Source organism: Homo sapiens, chromosome 21 (assembly GCF_000001405.40).
Source record: "Homo sapiens chromosome 21, GRCh38.p14 Primary Assembly".
NCBI lineage: Eukaryota > Metazoa > Chordata > Mammalia > Primates > Hominidae > Homo > Homo sapiens.
Window position 1 is genome coordinate 13,335,638 of NC_000021.9, and position 18,809 is coordinate 13,354,446.

At 33.3% G+C, this 18,809-nt stretch overlaps 1 pseudogene; it reads left to right on the plus strand.

Moving 5' to 3' along the window:
• Window positions 13,628-18,023, plus strand: FGF7P2 (fibroblast growth factor 7 pseudogene 2; annotated as a pseudogene).
• Window positions 18,024-18,809: the final 786 nt, after the last annotated feature.

An 18,809-nucleotide genomic window follows, 5' to 3' on the forward strand; every position in this document is an offset into this window, starting at 1 on the left:
TATTTGTCAAAACCAACAGAACTTTACAGAAGAAATAGTAAACCTTAATGTATGCAAATTTAAAAAGAAACATATAGTATGTCTGGAGATCCCTGACACCAACTAAGCAAAAAAAATCTAACTGTATTTCACATGTGTGACACAACCTCACTGAAGTCAGTAGAGGAAGAAAATGTGCTAACCTAAGTTACTTTATATATGATATAAATGAATTTTATTTGTCTCATGAACACTGTACTTTAGTTGACAAAAATGTTTTTGTTAAGAGGTAACTTAGGTTACAAGTGCTCTGCTGAATGAATTGATTAATGCCATTATCTTGAGAGTAGGTTAGCTACCTAGGAAGTGAGTTCTTGATAAAAGGATTAGTTCAGCACTATTCCTATTTCTCTGTCACGTGCATACATGCTGTCTTGCTCTTCTGCCTTCCACCATGGGATAACACAGGAGGAAGGTCCTTGTTACATGTAGGTTCCTCAACCTTGGATTTCCCAGTCTCAAGAACTGTAAGAAATAAGTCTCTGTTCTTTATAAATCACCCAGTCTAAGGTATGCTACATTAGCACAAAATGGACTAAGACGCTATCTATCCATCTACCTATATGTCTATATATCTATCTAATCTATCTGGCTATCTATCTATCTATCCATCTATCATCTATCTGTTCCCACCTAAGCAGGTGAAAGTAAGCTACCTCATAAAGCAGAAGATAATATACACATCAAAACACTCTCTTACCTAATAAAGACTGGTACATTAAAGGTAGTGGTATACTGCTTTTACATCTCAATGTTTATTTGCTCATTTGTTTTTCCCAACTGTGAACAAAATGTTATGCAAAAGCTATTATAATAGCAACTAGTATGCAGCTCCACCATCTTTAACTTAATTGGAGAGAGACATAAAGAAAAACCTTTGTTCTTAACATTCTTGCAAGAAGAAACAATATGCAGAGAATGTTTTTTTCTCTCTCTCTCTTTCTCTGTGTTTATGTATACGTTCATTAATCTATACTTATATACATTAAAATTCAGTTTTTTAAAATGAGTAGGAAAATGGGTGTTTCAGTCAACTAAATATTCTAATTAATTCAATATTTTATCCTGTGAGATGTTCAAAAGATCAAATATTTTTAAAAGTCATAATAATCCCATAAAATTACTGAGATAGTCCCTCTTTCTTCCTCATGTTTTGTCTAGGTCACTCCTACCAGACTGAACATGAATTTGATAATTTTTTTATCTTATTCATGCACAAGCTTAGATTTGATTCCTTATTTTATATTTATAAACTATTTTTGTCTTGCCTCTGACTTTTTTGTATCAGATTGAATTTTATTCTACTGTTTTATTTAAGCCCTTTCTTGCAATTACCATCATCCTGAACCAATATAGAAATTTCAGTGTGTTTACTTCTTCCTTGAGCTCACAATGAGATCTCCTGTTATAGGCTAATGGCTACAGGCATATTTTAGTGTCATAATTTTCACAGAACCCATATATAAATAATCCAAACTAACCCTAAAATTATACCAAAAAATTAATGTGATTAGGATGATAATTCACAGTCACATAGTGTTTTGGAATCTTTGTGGTGAAAATAAATTGTTTGTTTAAAACTATTGACTTAGAAGTTGGACTCTATTATTGTGTAATGACTGAAACAAGAAGTAACATTTTTCAATATATCTTTATATAAGGAATATTCTCTGATATGGTTTGGCTGTGTCCCCATCCAATTCTCATCTTAAATTGTAACTCCCACAATTCCCACATGTCCTGGGAGGAACCGGGTGGGAGGTGATTGAATTATGGGGGTGGATCTTTCCTACGCTGTTCTCAAGACAGTGAATGAGTCTCATGATATTTGATAGTTTTAAAAATGTAAGTTTCTCTGCACAAGCTCTCTTTTTGCCTGCTGCCATCCACGTAAGATGTGACTTGCACCTCCTTGTCTTCTGCCATGATTGTGAGGCTTCCCCAGCCATGTGGAACTGTGAGTTCTCCATTATACCTCTTTCCTTTGTATATTGCCCAGTCTTCAGTATGTCTTTATCAACAGCATGAGACTACACTAACACATTCTCATTTTGTGTGTTTCAGAGAAAAAATAATAAGGCAAGAAATTCCATTTTTGAAAATTATTATTGCTTGAACTTTAGACAAATGGGAATTGACTGTGTTTGTTTACCCTAACATGGACTGGGTGCTGGCAAATTACAACTGCAGTTTTGTTTCTGCAGCCTCAAATTTAATCTTTTATTTTGTCAGATGTGGCTAAGTGAACAATTTCCCACCCCCCCCCCAAAAAAAAGACTAAAATAGTGAGCCTTTAAAAATCCTATTTCTCTTCTAGACTTGGATCCCTAAGTACCAGTCAAGGAAAATATCTAATTTCTTCAAGGAAAAAGAGTTCATATTTCTTTTGAAACATATCATGTTGCCATAGTTACCAAATGCTCTCATTTTATTTCCTAACAATAATATCACCATCTAGATACACATAGCTTACAAAAGTAAATGTTTTATTGTGGAATTTTATAAGGACACAGGATCTGCTTCCAATGACTTTTAAAAAATTAAAATGGAAGGATTCTTGCTAATAAATACACCTGAGTTGAAATTAAATGTTTTCTGAGCAAGAGCATAGGAGAAAAGGAGGAGCAGAGAGAAATTGAAAAAGACACATACAGTTTTAACATTTCAAAGGTGAAGGTGATTTAAATTAGGATTTGGGCATGGTTGTTCTTCTCCACCCCAGTGTATATAAACATTCTCATATGGGTTGCCATGTCTCCAGGAGTGATACCATCATCTGGACAGGCCATTAGAAATTAAAACATACTTACACATATACACATGCACATCTTAGAATAAGAAAAATTATAAACCAGCTTATTTCTATTTGTCTTGCCAAATATAAACTTTAGAGCCAAAATTTTAAACAAAGCAGCAACTATGAAAATAAATAATGAGATCCCTGTGTACAGAATTACGTAGTTGGGGTTTACATATTGGGAAATCAAGCTCCAAGTAGAAAGGAATCAGTTTTCTCCGTCTTTCCTTTCTCTTACTTTTTAAGAAGCTATCACAAGAATTTTATTTACAGGAATTTAAGGTGGAAACATATACCTTTTGGGGAGTAAATCGTTACTAAAAACATAATTAATGTGGTCATTTTGAACAATATTATCAAATAGTTACCTCAATGAATCATAAAAATCATCAAATATGTACATGATTTGAAAAATCTTGAAAACTAAGAAAGTTGAAATATGTAAAAAGTAAATTAATTTCATAGTCTACCTTTATAGATAAAACATCAATAGCTAATATTAAACTATAAGCATTATTATTAAAATATAAACATTAATTGAAAATTTAAAATTAAATTTAAAAATTAATTAATTTCTTTATATCTTCCTATTTCATACTTAAAAGGTTTCTTATTCTAGCCTAAATGGTGTATCACAAACTGCAAATTACAATATTTGATGTTTTAATGCACTATGTCGGGGGGTGGGGGGCAAGGGGAGAGAGGAAGAGCATTAGGACAAATACCTAATGCATGAGAGGCTTAAAACCTACATGACAGTTTGTTAGGTTCAGCAAACCACCACGGCACATGTATACCTATGTAACAAACCTGCATGTTCTGCACGCATATCCCAGAACTTAAAGTAAAACTTAAAATAAGAAAATAATAATAATAAAGAATGTGTTATTTAAATGTAATCTTTAGCATTTCAGTTTTGTTTACTGGAGTCATAATCTCAATATTATTTTTAAATATAGAGAATTCAAAATTATTTAACATAAAGTATACTTCATTTTATTTGTAAAGTTTTACCCATCATTTTTAAAATGAATGATTTAGGCAGAGCATTATGGCATTTGAGAAGAACTGGCCTTCATTGTAAGTTGACTGTAGGATTTATTGATACAAGCAAAAATGCATAAAAAAGAAAAATTTTTCATAATTTTGTTTTTCAAAAACTTATATATGCGTATGTGTATGTGTGTATGTATATGTGTATATTTAAATATGTATCATGTACTTTAGAGAGATTTTTACATCCAGTATGGCTCTTAAGATAAAGGCCATGATTCCCATTTTATAAGTTTTCTCTTGATTAGAAAACTAGTTTTGTGTGGTGGTGGGTGAGATGTTATATTGTTTACTTCCTCAAACTCTGTTAGCCTTCCTTAAACTTATTTTGGTTTATTATTGTTTGTATTTTTAATTGTATGCTTGGAGGGATCCTTTATCTTTCCAATCAGCCTTGTCCAGGTCTGAATCCCATCTCCTTTCACCTCCTTGAGAATTTTTATTCTCAAGAGGTCAATTTTTTTTCTGTCTTCTTACTCTCATTTCCCACTAGTGGAGGCTTATCTAATTATAAACAATAAAGAAATGATTTTGAAATTATCTTTTTACTTATACACCCAAACTGGTATCTGTAGATTCTTTCTTATCTTTTGCTTACCCATTTCTGAAATGTTCCTATGCCTAAAGCCAGATGCTCTTTTTTTTTTTTTAATCTGCTGCAGTCTTTTTGGACAACTTAGTCCTCTTCCAGTTGCTTCACCTCTCACTCATAACTTGCTGACTCCAGAATCTATAACTCTTTAATTCTTTTCTGAGGTCCTGAGATACATATATACATATATATAAAATATAAAATATATATATATACACAATGTTTTATTGAAACTTCCCAATTATTGCATGTCAGGTATTCTCATTTCACAGACCAGGAAACAGATACTTACAGAAGTTAAGTATTACAGCAGGTTTACTCAATTAGCACATGTCCAAGCTAGTATTTAATCCAAAACTTTTGATTTTTTTTCTATTATATACGCTTTCTTTCCATTTTCTTGAATTCCAGTTTTGTCTACCAGGGTAAAGTACATGATTGCTAAAGAAGGGAGGCTTTAGAATTTCTCTCTCTCTATCTTTTTTATTTTTTATTTTTTTGGAACCCACTGCATGAATTTTTCAGATTCCAGAAATAATGCTTTGCAATGAATGAGGTAGTACTTTTAATTCTATATATTTTTGCCATAATGTCTATGCACCCAGCCTGTGAAATAAATTGCACTGACCTGTGTCTTTAGTGCCTGTCACTTAAAATTTTTCCAAACCACCTTAAATGTTGAAGTTAATAAAATTGGTAATGCTCGACGTGGGGGAAAAAAAAAACAACGAAAACCACTAAGATGTTCTACTTTATGGTCTCTGCATGACATCTAGTGGTTGGAACTGGAAAATTTGAGGAAATTATGATTAGTATCAGGGAAAATACAATCTGTGTTAGTCTGGAGTCCTCATTCCTAACATCAAAGGAAACATGATGTAGATATCCTCTACTTCCAAAGAGGTTGGCCACTGGCAGGTAGGCCAGTGGCCTTTCTGTTCATTTCTTAATGAATTGAACAGAATTCATTAAGAATTCTTAATCTTCACACAGAAGATTAATCTTTCTTAATCATTTCTGTTTCTCAGTCTGTGTATCAGGGAATAACAGTTTCTCTCTGTGTTAAGCAATCTGTGCTCACTGGGGCTTGTGAAACATTGGTCTGTAATCAGTACCTACTTTTGATAGATATGAGTTGGATAATTATAAGATGCAAAAGTAAATAAACCCTTTGGTTTTCTTTCTTTATACGCAAGTATTAATGATAGTAAATCTATGACCCTATTATTCAAAATTGTATTTAGAAAAGCTTTTTATATACTCCAGTTTTGATTATTCTAAAGAGGTTATAAAATCGAGTAACTGCTTAGCTTTGAGTCTTAGGGATGATATTGGGTGTAGGTCCTTGATAATCCAAGATTTAGGATCTGCCTACCAGAAATTTTAGTCAGCTTAGATAACTGACAATGGAAAACGGTACATGATATGTTCTAAATAAATGACACAGCCAATGTTGTAGGGATGCCGCAGAGGATTTGGAGTCCAAGAGGTCAGAGAAGGGATCATGAAGGAGGATGGATTTGAACTGAGCTGCAGTTGATAGATGGGCAGCTTAAGGTATTGTTAAGCAAACAGGCAACAGAGTGAGATTCCTGGGTGTTGGCTTTCCTTCAGTGTGACCTTGGACAAACTATCTAGTTGCTCCACATTTTACTTTCTTCGTTTGCATCACAGTATGTACACACATAGATACATAGCATCTATTTCTTGTGGTGAAGATCAGCATAATGTCTCAGTTGGCAAATTATCAGTTCTTTTTATTATAAATAAATTAAAAATGCAAATGTTTAGGTCAAGTGTTATTCTCTGAAAATGCACAAAGAGAAATGAGCCAAGAGAAAAATAATAATAAATAAATATTATATTTCTGACACCAAGACAAGTCCAAGAGAATTTAAAAAATAATTATAAATATTTTATGGTAATGTATTTCAAATATACATGCTTCAGATTCCAGGATTTATGTCATGGGGATGGATCAGGAGTCCTTGAAACCTGGCACTTATTAATAAATGTTGTTTCTAATTTTCTATCACTGCAAGGTACTCTTATAGACACCATGTGAACATAGTACTTTTATCTCTCTAGCCTTGCACATAGTACTTTTATCTCTCGATTAGCATGTTTCCATCTTTTCTACCTATGTCAACTCTATTCATCCATCAAGATCTAATTCAAGCTCTATCTATTCCTCACATCCTTCCTTGGCCACTTCTTTCTTCTGAATTCCTATTTATTTTCCTGGTTTTTTTTTTTTTTTTTTTTTTTTTTTTGCAATTGGCATATACTGCTAGGTATCACTCATTTTTTCTGTGGAAAGAAAAAATACTAACTGAATTTTTGTATATATTTATTAATATCCAGATAGGATATCATAATTAAAGTAATCAGATCAAGTTTCTAAAATATTACTGGCTCTTGTTTTCCATTCCCAAACACCTGAGAGATACTGTCCACTTAACAAGTGAAACAGTGGTCTGTATATCCAGCATTTGTAGCCTACAATCTCCAAAGTGTGTTTTTATTATGACCTTACTCCTCCTTACTGTCCATATTTCACAAAAAGAAGTTATCCATTGGGGAAGAAGATCTTAATCCATTACCAAAGACATTTTTAATAGTAATTAATAACAAATCCCATATGTTCTATATATTTGGGACATAAATAAATAATGTAAAATGTCGGTACAAATAGTTTCTCTACACTCAATGATATTATATTATTAAAGTCAGCTGCATTTAAAAATTAGTAGAATTTGTATTTTAGAACACTTTTAGATTTAAAAAAATAATTGAGCAGATAGGCTGGGCATGGTGGCTCACCCCTGTAATCCCAGCACTTTGGGAGGCCGAGGTGGACAGATCACAAGGTCAGGAGATCAAGACCATCCTGGTTAACACGGTGAAACCTCGTCTCTACTAAAAATACAAAAAAGTAGCCGGGCGTGGTGGCGGGTGCCTGTAGTCCCAGCTATTCGGGAGGCTGAGGCAGGGAAATGGCGCAAACCTGGGAGGCGGAGCTTGCAGTGAGCCGAGATCACACCACTGCACTCCAACCTCGGCGACAGAGTGAGAGTGCCTCAAAAAAAAAAAAAAAAAAAAGAGCAGATAATAGAGTCCCATAAACAATCTCCATTTCCCCCCACATTCCTCCATTATAAATATCTAGCATTAATGTGGCACATTTATCACAATAGATGAGCCAATATTTATTTATACCATCAGTTTATACTAAGGTCCACAGTTTGCTTTGTATAGTTCTATGAGTTCTGACAAATGTATATCGTGTATCCACTATTACAGTATTAAGCAGAATAGTTTCACTGATTTAAAAATCCCCTGTGATTCAGCTTTTCATCCTTTTTCTCCTCTCCTCAAGGCCCTTGCAACCACTGATCTTACTATCTCTAAAGTTTTGCCTTTGCCAGAATGTCATATGGCTGGAATCATACAGTATGTGGCTTTTTCAGGCTGGTTTCTTTCACTTAGCAATATGTACTTAAGGTTCCCCTTGTCTTTTTGTGGCTTCACAGCTCAATACCTTTTCATTGCTAAATAATATTCCAATGTATACGTGTACCATAGTTTGTTTATCCATTTACCTATTGGATATATTGGTTGCATCTGGTTTTTGATGATACGAATAAAGCTTCTATAAATAGTCATGTTCAGGTTTTTGTGTGGACATAAGTTTTCAATTCAATTGGGCAAATACCTGGGGGCATGACTGCTGGATTATATAGCATATTCAGTTTTTAAGAAGCTGCCAAATTGTCTTCCCATGTGACTGCACCATTTTGCATTCCCACTAGTAATGAAAGAATTTTGGTTGCTTTGCATCCTTGCCAGCATACAGCACTGTCAGTTTTTTGGAGTTTAGTCATGCTAATAGTTGTATAGAGGTATCTCATTGTTGTTTTAATTTGCGATTCCTTTTTAAATAATTTCAACTTTTATTTTAGATTCAGGGGGTACATGTGCAGGTCTTTACCTGGGTATATTGTGTGATACTGAGGTTTGAGGTATGATTGCTCCCATCACCCAGGTACTGAGCATAGTACCTAATGGTTTTTCAACCCTTCCCTCATCTACTCCCCGCCAGTAGTCCCCAGTGTCAGTTGTTGCCATCTTTATGTCCCTAAGTACCCAGTGTTTAGCTCCCACTTATAAGTGAAAACATGCAGTAGTCAGTTTTCTGTTCCTGTGTTAATTTGCTTAGGATAATGGCCTCCGGCTGCATCCATGTTGCAATTCCTTGATGATCTATGATATTGAGCATCTTTTCATCTGCTTATTTGCCCTTTGTGTATCTTTAGTGAGGTGTCCAGATTTTGCCCACTTTTTAACTAGGTTTTTTTTCTTATTGTTGTGTTTTCAGTGTTTTTTGTATATGTTGGATATATTGATATATTTTTTGCATATATGTATATGTCGGTGTATTTTAGTGACGTAAAATGAATGGAATCTATAGCCTTAAACATAATATAAATATATAATGGTTAAGATTTCCCACTCAACAATCCAGGCTTGACAGAAAATCATAAAATGTATTTAAATTTAAATGTTTTTTTCTTTGTTGATACTAGTTCTTAGTTTTAACATGCCGAAGAGGGTATACTTGATCAAGGACAAGATTAAATGTTCTGATTGGCTAACTATCAAACCGCTGCCTCCACTTTTTTTTGCAACTTGAAAATAATATTTAGTTATCATGCTAGCACAGCCATATTAATATATACCCCTTCAAAACTTTAAATATAAAGCTTTAACAGTTTCACGAAAAAGAAATATTAATGATGCTGAGATTGGTGGGCATGGATTCTGTGTAGTGAGACACTGAAAAGTAATTTTTAAAACAGGAAAGTTAAAGCACTTTAAAATCACAAACCTATTGGTAATTAAAAAAGAATTAGTATCAATTTCTGAAATACAAGATTAGAGGGACACCTAAAATTCTGAAAGATTTTAGAGAATTTTTTTAAAAAGTAATTGCAATTTAGATCAAAGTTCCCCACTTTTCATTCCAAGTGTGATACAGGTTTAAATAATAAACAGAAAAAAAAGTTTAGATAAATTCACGAATTATTGAACCAGATGATAAACAATAGGGAAGCTATTTAGGGCATAGTCTCTAGTGTGTAAGGGTGACATCCTAAGTAATAAATTTATGCTATTGTTGACAATATTGCTGGCAAGGCTAAATGGTCAATGTGCTTGACATATTGCCTGGTTTTTCATGTTCTATTGCAAGAGCTGATTCTCTCTCTCTCTTTTATTTATATTTTTGAACTCTACCATTATGCTATCATGGACATTATGTTAACAATTTGATGCATCTATGTAATATGCTTTAAATCTTTGGGAATAAATTTACTGAGTGCTACTTATGTGAACAAACTTCTCTTAAGCACAAATGGAAATCCACAAAGAAAGACAGCCTCTTCTATTTGTTTTATGTGAGGCAACGGATACACTGTAGACAAAAAGACCAAGTATAATTAACTTATATTGTTAACTAACTTAATATCTGCATATTACATATTTTTCTATTATGCTTTCTGAGCAACTTCGTGGCTTCTGTTTTGGAGGGTAGGATTTCATAGTTAATACTTTTTTTTTTTTTTTTGTGAGATGGAGTCTAGCTCTTGTTGTCCAGGCTGGAGTGCAATGGTAAAATCTTGGCTCACTGCAACCTCCGCATCCCAGGTTCAAATGATTCTCCTGACTCAGCCTCCCGAGTAACTGGGATTACAGACACCCACCATCATGCCTGGCTAATTTTTGTATTTTTAGTAGAGATGAGGTTTCACCATATTTGCCAGGCTGGTCTTGAACTCCTGACCTCAGGTGATCCGCCCGCGTTGGCCTCCCAAAGTGCTGGGATTACAGGCGTGAGCCACTGCGCCCGGCCCATAGTTAACACTTCTATAAATATTTGTGCCTATTGAAAGGAACATCGCTCCCTACACTGCAACTGAACAAAAGAGTGATAATGTTAATTTCTTTATTCTTGGGCTTTTCTTGAATAAAAGAGGGTCATAGGATATGGAACAAAATAGACTAGAAAATAGGGTTGATAAGGTACTGATTCTGCCAACACTGCTTAATGCTCTCCCCAAGCAATTGTCTTTTAGATATGTTATTTCCCAGTGTGAATGGTATTTTTTAAATATGTCAAGCAATTAAGAATATAAGTATATTCTCATCTCAGCTAAACGTAGAATCTTTACAAAGAATTTTTGGTATCCTTAACCCTAATATGTGGAGGGATAAGATTAAAAATGTTCACCACCTTATTTTTATTTATTTATTTATCTATTATTTTGAGACAGAGCCTCACTCCACCCTGACTGGAGTGCTGTGGTGTGACCTCGGCTCATTGCAACCTCTGCCTCCCAAGTTCAAGTGATTCTCCTGCCTCAGCCTTTCAAGTAGCTAGAATTATAGGAATTCACCACCATGCCCAACTAATTTTTTTTATTTATTATTTTTTTTTTTTTTTGGTGAGATGGAGTCTCACTCTGTTGCCTAGGCTAGAGGGCAGTGGCACTGTTTTGGCTCACTGCAGCCTCCACCTTCTGGGTTCAAGCAAGTCTCCTGCCTCAGCCTCCTGAGTATCTGGGATTACAGGCACCCACCACCACACCCGGATAATTTTTTGTATTTTTAGTAGAAACGGGGTTTCACCATGTTGGCCAGGTTAGTATTGAACTCCTGACCTCAAGTGATCTGCCTGACTCGGCCTCCCAAAGTGCTGGGATTACAGGTGTGAGCTACCACATCCAGCCATCACCTCCTGTAAAGTGCAGTAAAGAAATAGTGGGCAATAGACAGGCAGGGGATAGAGGAAAATGTTTTGGGAGTGGGACAATATGAACTTATTGTCATGACAGGACCAAAAAGGGAAGATGTCTGCCTATCATAATTAATAATAACTCTGTCAGTCAACATTTATGTTTTACAATTGTTCTGTAAAAGCCAGCAAATATTACAGATTCCAGTCCCTAATAACTGATCATGAAAGACACTCTAAGCTTGTGCATCAGCATTCTCTTTTTATCTAAAAGAAAATATATTAAATAAAGGGAGGAATGGCAGGAGTAAAGAGACTTGAAGGAAAAGAAAATATTGACTTATTAATGATATTTTACAATGCTAAGACCTTTAGAAACCAACTACTCCATATGTCTTTTAAATATTAGTTTGGTGCAAAGGTAATTACAGTTTTTGTCATAAAAGTAATGGCAAAAGCCACAATTACTTTTGCACCAACCTAACTGATACATTTATTCCATTTTGGAGGTATTGCAAATATGCTGAATCAATGAATTTCTTCAGTATTTTTCATTGTATTAGTACAAATTTAACCTAATAGTATTCTTCTGCATGTTATTTCCCTTTGTGCTTCCTTTAATGCAATGAAGTTGTAGTTACCAAATAGAGTGCTCTAAAAGGGCAAGGCTTGTCTGTGAATTGAGCCTAGCATAGAATTGGCTCTCAGTGAAGATCTGTTGAACATTTCATGAATGCATCAACATCATAATCCTTCATGTGCTTGTAAGCAATTATTAAAATTTTCTCTAGCCTATTCAGGCCTGTGTTCTTCAAAATTCTCCAAAATATATGGACGTGTTTGCTGTTTCTATTAGGTTTTAACTTCTGGTGTCAGAAACCAGGGCTGTTTTTCTTAATTTGTGTCCTAAAACCACAGTAGGGTTGTATGCATTGTGATAATGCTTAATAAATATATAAAAAGATTAATATCCATTCATTTACATTTTCTTAAACCCAATTTCTGGATGAGTAGCTGTGAAACTCTCAACTGGATGAGCTCTGACTAGTGTTAAGTATAGTATATTGGGAACAGGGCTTTATATGCAACATATATGTGAGGCAAATGAGAAATATTAGCTGGGCTACATTAAATCCCAATGACATGAATAGAAATTTTATTATCCAGGTAGCAAAAATGAAGTCAAAAAAATAAATAAGAGAATGAAGTGAAGGTATGGGGCAAAACAATTAGTTTTTTATTTAAGTCAATATTTTAGAAAATAGCTTCTGAAGGCCCAATCACACAGATAATTGACACTACGACTTTTCTTTGCACTGTGTTAGACATAGGTAAAAGAATGTCTCAGCACTGTACCTTCATGTAGAAAATGTAATTAATAGCAAATTGCATAAAAGTACACTAAAATTTTAATTCTTACATCATTTTAATAAATTTCTTGAGATTTTACTTTATTTAGTGTGTCATTAAAACACAGGATTTAAGGACGATATATGTAATAAAGGAAAATAGTAAGTTACCATTCTTGTGTAAACACGTTTTGTAAATACTATTTCAACAAAGATTTAAAAGTTAATTACAAAGGTATAAAGTTATGAAGTATTATATAAACCGGATTCATAATTTTGTTTTAAATGGTCTTTTCATGTATCAAAATACTATCAGTTTAAAACAATCTCTTTTTTTAAGGCAGTAGGCTCTGTTTACCATCATTTACAATTGCTTTAATTAGAATTTTCTTCACTTTCAGTATATTCAAGAGCTATTCTGTTAGCCATAATTTTTAAGATAAAGTTTATCCAAATAGAAAAGTAATTATATAATGATTAAGAGCCAGAATGTCTGGGTTCAAATTACAGTTCTGCTACTTCTCAGGTATAAGAATTTGGGCAAATTTCTTAGTTTCTCTGTGCTTCAGTTCCCTGATCTGTAAAACTGGGATAACAAGACTACCTGCCTCAATCTGTGGTTATGAGTAAATGAGTTAATACATAAGAGCAATGCAATAATCCTTGGAATGTGGTATGAGTTAAATAAACATTAGCTATTATTATTATAGTAAATTAGAAATTTAATTCTAGAGAATAAAAAGCTGAACTCAAATATGTAACTATTTATTTGATACAGACACATTTTCTACAAAATAAAAAACCGTCAGTTTGCACTTCCCTTATATAATGACTATTCTGGTGTTTGTGTGTATCTGTTGTGGGTCAGAGTTTTGGGCTGCGTAAATAATCACTAAAAATTTTAAAAACTTCCGATTAAAACAGAAATAAGAACAAATGGCCATTCATGGATCACTGGCAAAGCTGAACGAATACCTGACATGTCTTTCTGTGATTCCTTGCAGATATCATGGAAATCAGGACAGTGGCAGTTGGGATTGTGGCAATCAAAGGGGTGGAAAGTGAATTCTATCTTGCAATGAATGAGGAAGGAAAACTCTATGCAAAGGTATTGATAATTGATCGCTTAGGCTTAATTTTTAAAACTCATTTTTGTCAAAATATCTCACCATTCTGAAAAGGAAAAATGGACTTAATTTATCTCCAACTGTGTAATTTAATGATTTTATTAAAACACTTTATACTCAAACGTTAAGAAAAAATGTTTTCTGTGTGACTTTGGACAAATGGCTTGTTCTTTGGATTTTGGTTTCTTCATCTGTAAAATGATTTGAATTAGCTGACCTCTAAGGATCCTTCCAGCTCTAAAATTCCATGTGCATTTTAGATATTTAAAATCCAAAATTTCCATTTGCCAGTATTAAAGCTCTTTTTGTTAAAGTTCACCCAATTTGCACATTGCTGACATGAAAATTCTTGGGAAAAAATCTTGAAATGTTTAGTTCATTCATCAACATCAATCTCACAATCATGGGCTTTGAACTGTAATTATTCACATTGTTCCCACTTCACTACAATGCAAAATATGTAACAGTTCATCCCACTGTAATAAAATATGATTGGCTTTCCTTTGTATTCCCAGAGCTCAGTATAATGCCTGGAGCAGGCTAATTATATAATGATACAGGTTTAATTGAATGAACAAATGGTTGCGTGCATGAACAAACAAATTAACCTTTTATCTTCCATTACCATTGAAGACAATGTAGAAGTAAATAAAGAAAAGTTATGAAACAAGTCTCTCACCGAGGGAGGCAGATGTTCTGCTAGTTATACCAAATTTCCAGTGGTTAAAGAATGAGTGATATGGGAATAGTAATATGAGGCCTGTTACTTAGGGGGAAATAGGTCCTAATTTTAAAGAATAGTTGACATGAACTTCCAAAAAGCTACACATATTTCATAACTAGCTGTGTATTATGTGGTGTTTTTATTTCAAATTTAAGATACCTTTTTATGCAAATATACTACATAAGTATAGCTAATAAACCACATTAGGCCTGCTCAATCTGAGGGTTAAAAAAAGTTGTGTATGTTTCAATTCTAACAAATATTACCTGCTTACTCTTCGTTTAATTGAGCCTCTCTAAAAATCATTTGGATCATGTTTGTTTGTTTGTTTGTTTGTTTTAACAGAAAGAATGCAATGAAGATTGTAACTTCAAAGGACTAATTCTGGAAAACCATTACAACACATATGCCTCAGCTAAATGGACACACAATGGAGGGGAAATGTTTGTTGCCTTAAATCAAAAGGGGATTCCTGTAAGGAAAAAAAATGAAGAAAGAACAAAAACAGCCCACTTTGTTCCTATGGCAATAACTTAATTGCATATGGTATATAAAGAACCAGTTCCAGCAGGGAGATTTCTTTAAGTGGACTGTTTTCTTTCTTCTCAAAATTTTCTTTCCTTTTATTTTTTAGTAATCAAGAAAGGCTGGAAAACTACTGAAAAACTGATCAAGCTGGACTTGTGCATTTATGTTTGTTTTAAGACACTGCATTAAAGAAAGATTTGAAAAGTATACACAAAAATCAGATTTAGTAACTAAAGGTTGTACAAAATTGTAAAACTGGTTGTACAATCATGATGTTAGTAATGGTAATTTTTTTAAATTAATTTACCCTTAAGAGTATGTTAGATTTGATTACCTGATAATGATTATTTAAATATTCCTATCTGCTTATAAAATGGCTGCTATAATAATAATAATGCAGATGATGTTATATAAGGTATATCAGACCTACAGGCTGCTGGCAGGATTTGTCAGATAATCAAGCCACACTAACTTTGGAAAATGAGCAGCCTTTTAAATGCTTTCTAGTGAAAAATTATAATCTACTTAAACTCTAATCAGAAAAAAAGAATATTCTCAAAAAAATCTATTATGAAAGTCAATAAAATAGATAATTTAACAAAAGTACAGGATTAGAACATGCTTATACCTATTAACAAGAACAAAATTTCTAATGCTGCTCAAGTGGAAAGGGTATTGCTAAAAGGATGTTTCCAAAAATCTTGTATATAAGATAGCAACAGTGATTGATGATAATACTGTACTTCATCTTATTTGCCACAAAATAACATTTTATAATTCCTCAAAGTAAAATTGAGAAATCTTTAAGTTTTTTTCAAGTAACATAATCTATCTTTGTATAATTCATATTTGGGAATATGGCCTTTAATAATGTTCTTCCCACAAATAATCATGCTTTTTTCCTACGGTTACAGCATTAAACTCTATTTTAAGTTGTTTTTGAATTTTATTGTTTTGTTATTTAAGTTTATTTTATTTATTAAAAACCTTAATAAGCTGTATCTGTTTCATATGCTTTTAATTTTAAAGGAATAACAAAACTGTCTGGCTCAACTGCAAGTTTCCCTCCCCTTTGTGACTGACACTAAGTCTAGCACACAGCACTTGAGCCAGCAAATCCTGGAAGGCAGACAAAAATGAGAGCCTGAAGCAATGCTTACAATAGATGTCTCACACAGAACAATACAAATATGTAAAAAATCTTTCACCACATATTCTTGCCAATTAATTGGATCATATAAGTAAAATCATTACAAATATAAGTATTTACAGGATTTTAAAGTTAGAATATATTTGAATGCATGGGTAGAAAAGTATCATATTTTAAAACTATGTATATTTAAATTTAGTAATTTTCTAATCTTTAGAAATCTCTGCTGTTCAAAAGGTGGCAACACTGAAAGTTGTTTTCCTGTTAGATGCAAGAGCACAATGCCCAACATAGAAGATACAGTTAGGAATAAGGGGCCCTGAATGTCATGAAGGCTTGAGGTCAGCCTACAGATAACAGGATTATTACAAAGATGAATTTCCACTTCCAAAGTCTTTCATTGGCAGATCTTGGTAGCACTTTATATGTTCACCAATGGGAGGTCAACATTTATCTAATTTAAAAGGTTTGTAACCATTGTGGTTTTAATTTCAAAATATTTGTCATTCAAGTCCCTTTACATAAATAGTATTTGGTAATACATTTATAGATGAGAGTTATATGAAAAGGCTAGGTCAACAAAACAATAGATTCATTTAATTTTCCTGTGGTTGACCTATACGACCAGGATGCAGAAAACTAGAAAGAACTGTCCTTCCTCAGATATACTCCTGGGAGAGAGCATGAATGGTATTCTGAACTATCACCTGTTTCAAGGACTTTGCTAGCTAGGTTTTGAAATCAGGCTTCAGTAACTGTAGTCTTGTGAGCATATTGAGGGCAGAGGAGGACTTAGTCTTTCATATGTGTTTCCTTAGTGCCTACCAGACTATCTGTTCATAATCAGTTTTCAGTGTGAATTCATTGAATGTTTATAGACAAAAGAAAATACATAATAAAACTAATCTTCATTTTGAAAGGGTAAAACATGACTACACAGAAATTTAAATAGAAATAGTGTATATACATATAAAATACAAGCTATGTTAGGACCAAATGCTCTTTGTCTATGGAGTTATACTTCCATCCAATTACATAGCAATGCTGAATTAGGCAAAACCAATATTTAGTAGTAAATCCATTCCTGGTAGTGTAAATCACCTAAAAAAGACTTCTAGAAATATGTACTTTAATTATTTGTTTTTCTCCTATTTTTAAATTATGCAAATTTTAGAAAATAAAATTTGCTCCAGTTACACACACTTAGAATTCTAGAATCTTAAAACTGTAAGGGGCCTCCATCCCTCTTACTCATTTGTAGTCTAGGAGATCGAGATTTTGATAAACCTAAGGTCATGCAGCTGGGTAGATATACAACTGTCACAAGAGTCTAGATCAGTTGGCACATGCTTTCTACACTAGATCATTAGTATTATTAGCTAATGGTCTTCTGCATTTTTTTGTTTTTGATTTCTATTGAGATATAGCCTTTACATTTGTACACAAATGTGACTATGTCTTGGCAATGCACTTCATACAGAATGACTAATCTATACTGTGATGATTTGACAAAAAGGAGAAAAGAAATTATGTAGTTTTCAATTCAGATTCCTATTCACCTTTTGTTTATGAATGGAAAGCTTTGTGCAAAATATACATATAAACAGAGTAAGCCTTTTAAAAATGTTATTTGAAAGATAAAATCAAATACATGAGTTTCTAACAATTAGAAAGGAAAAAATTAAAATATGAAATGATAACAAAAGTAAACAGAAGATACTTTCAAAGCAGTGAACAAAACATTTTGACATAAACCATAATATAAATTATAATATAAAAATATAAAAACCATAGTATAAATTGTCAGCCTTTGAGTTGGCTACAAATTCAATTTAATGACAGAAGAGAAGGGATGCTGGAGGTAAATTCTTAGGGTTTCTATCTCATAGAGTTTGCTCTTCTGGTTCTCTAGACTGCCAAAGAACATAAAGATGTACGAGGGGACCTAGCTGTGGTAAAAGCATTCCTATAACAACAAAAACTCTAAAACGGTGCCCCTCACGATTTTCTACTGAAATTTCTCTAATAGTAGAGGTATAAAATATGAAGTTAGAGAATAATGCAAAGGGGGCCCACCACAGACAGCACATTTCTTTTCTCTTAAGACTCATGTGATTTTTGCATCTTACTCCATAATGTATTAGTGGTTGCGTTAATATGACAATGACTGCAATTAAACACCAGTAAGCAAAATTGATACCTCAGAATGACTTGCAGGGCTTATCATGCAGTTTCATTTACATCCCTACCCCACTGCCATTTACTTGAGCATGAATGATACATGAGAGAGTCTTTGCCTCCCATAATCCAACTTTACACATAAATAACACAAGGCTAAAGAAAACCAGAACTCAAATTCACCATGCATAGGAGTGATAACTAAAATATTTAACAGTCGGTATAGGTGATTACTGGCCAATCAGAATACATCACTGATATATCGAAATGGATGCAGGCCACTGTGACTAACTTGTGGGTATCATTTCTATGATCACCTTAAAGCAGAGTTGGGAAAATGTCTATTAACTGGTCTCTCTGGTTTGAATTCTCAATATGTATCTTAATATGAAATAGCTCATTAAAACTTCATGTGTAACTATTTCAGCACTGTTGTCAGCTACTCTTTATTCCACTTCTGTACAGTATTTATTCAACCA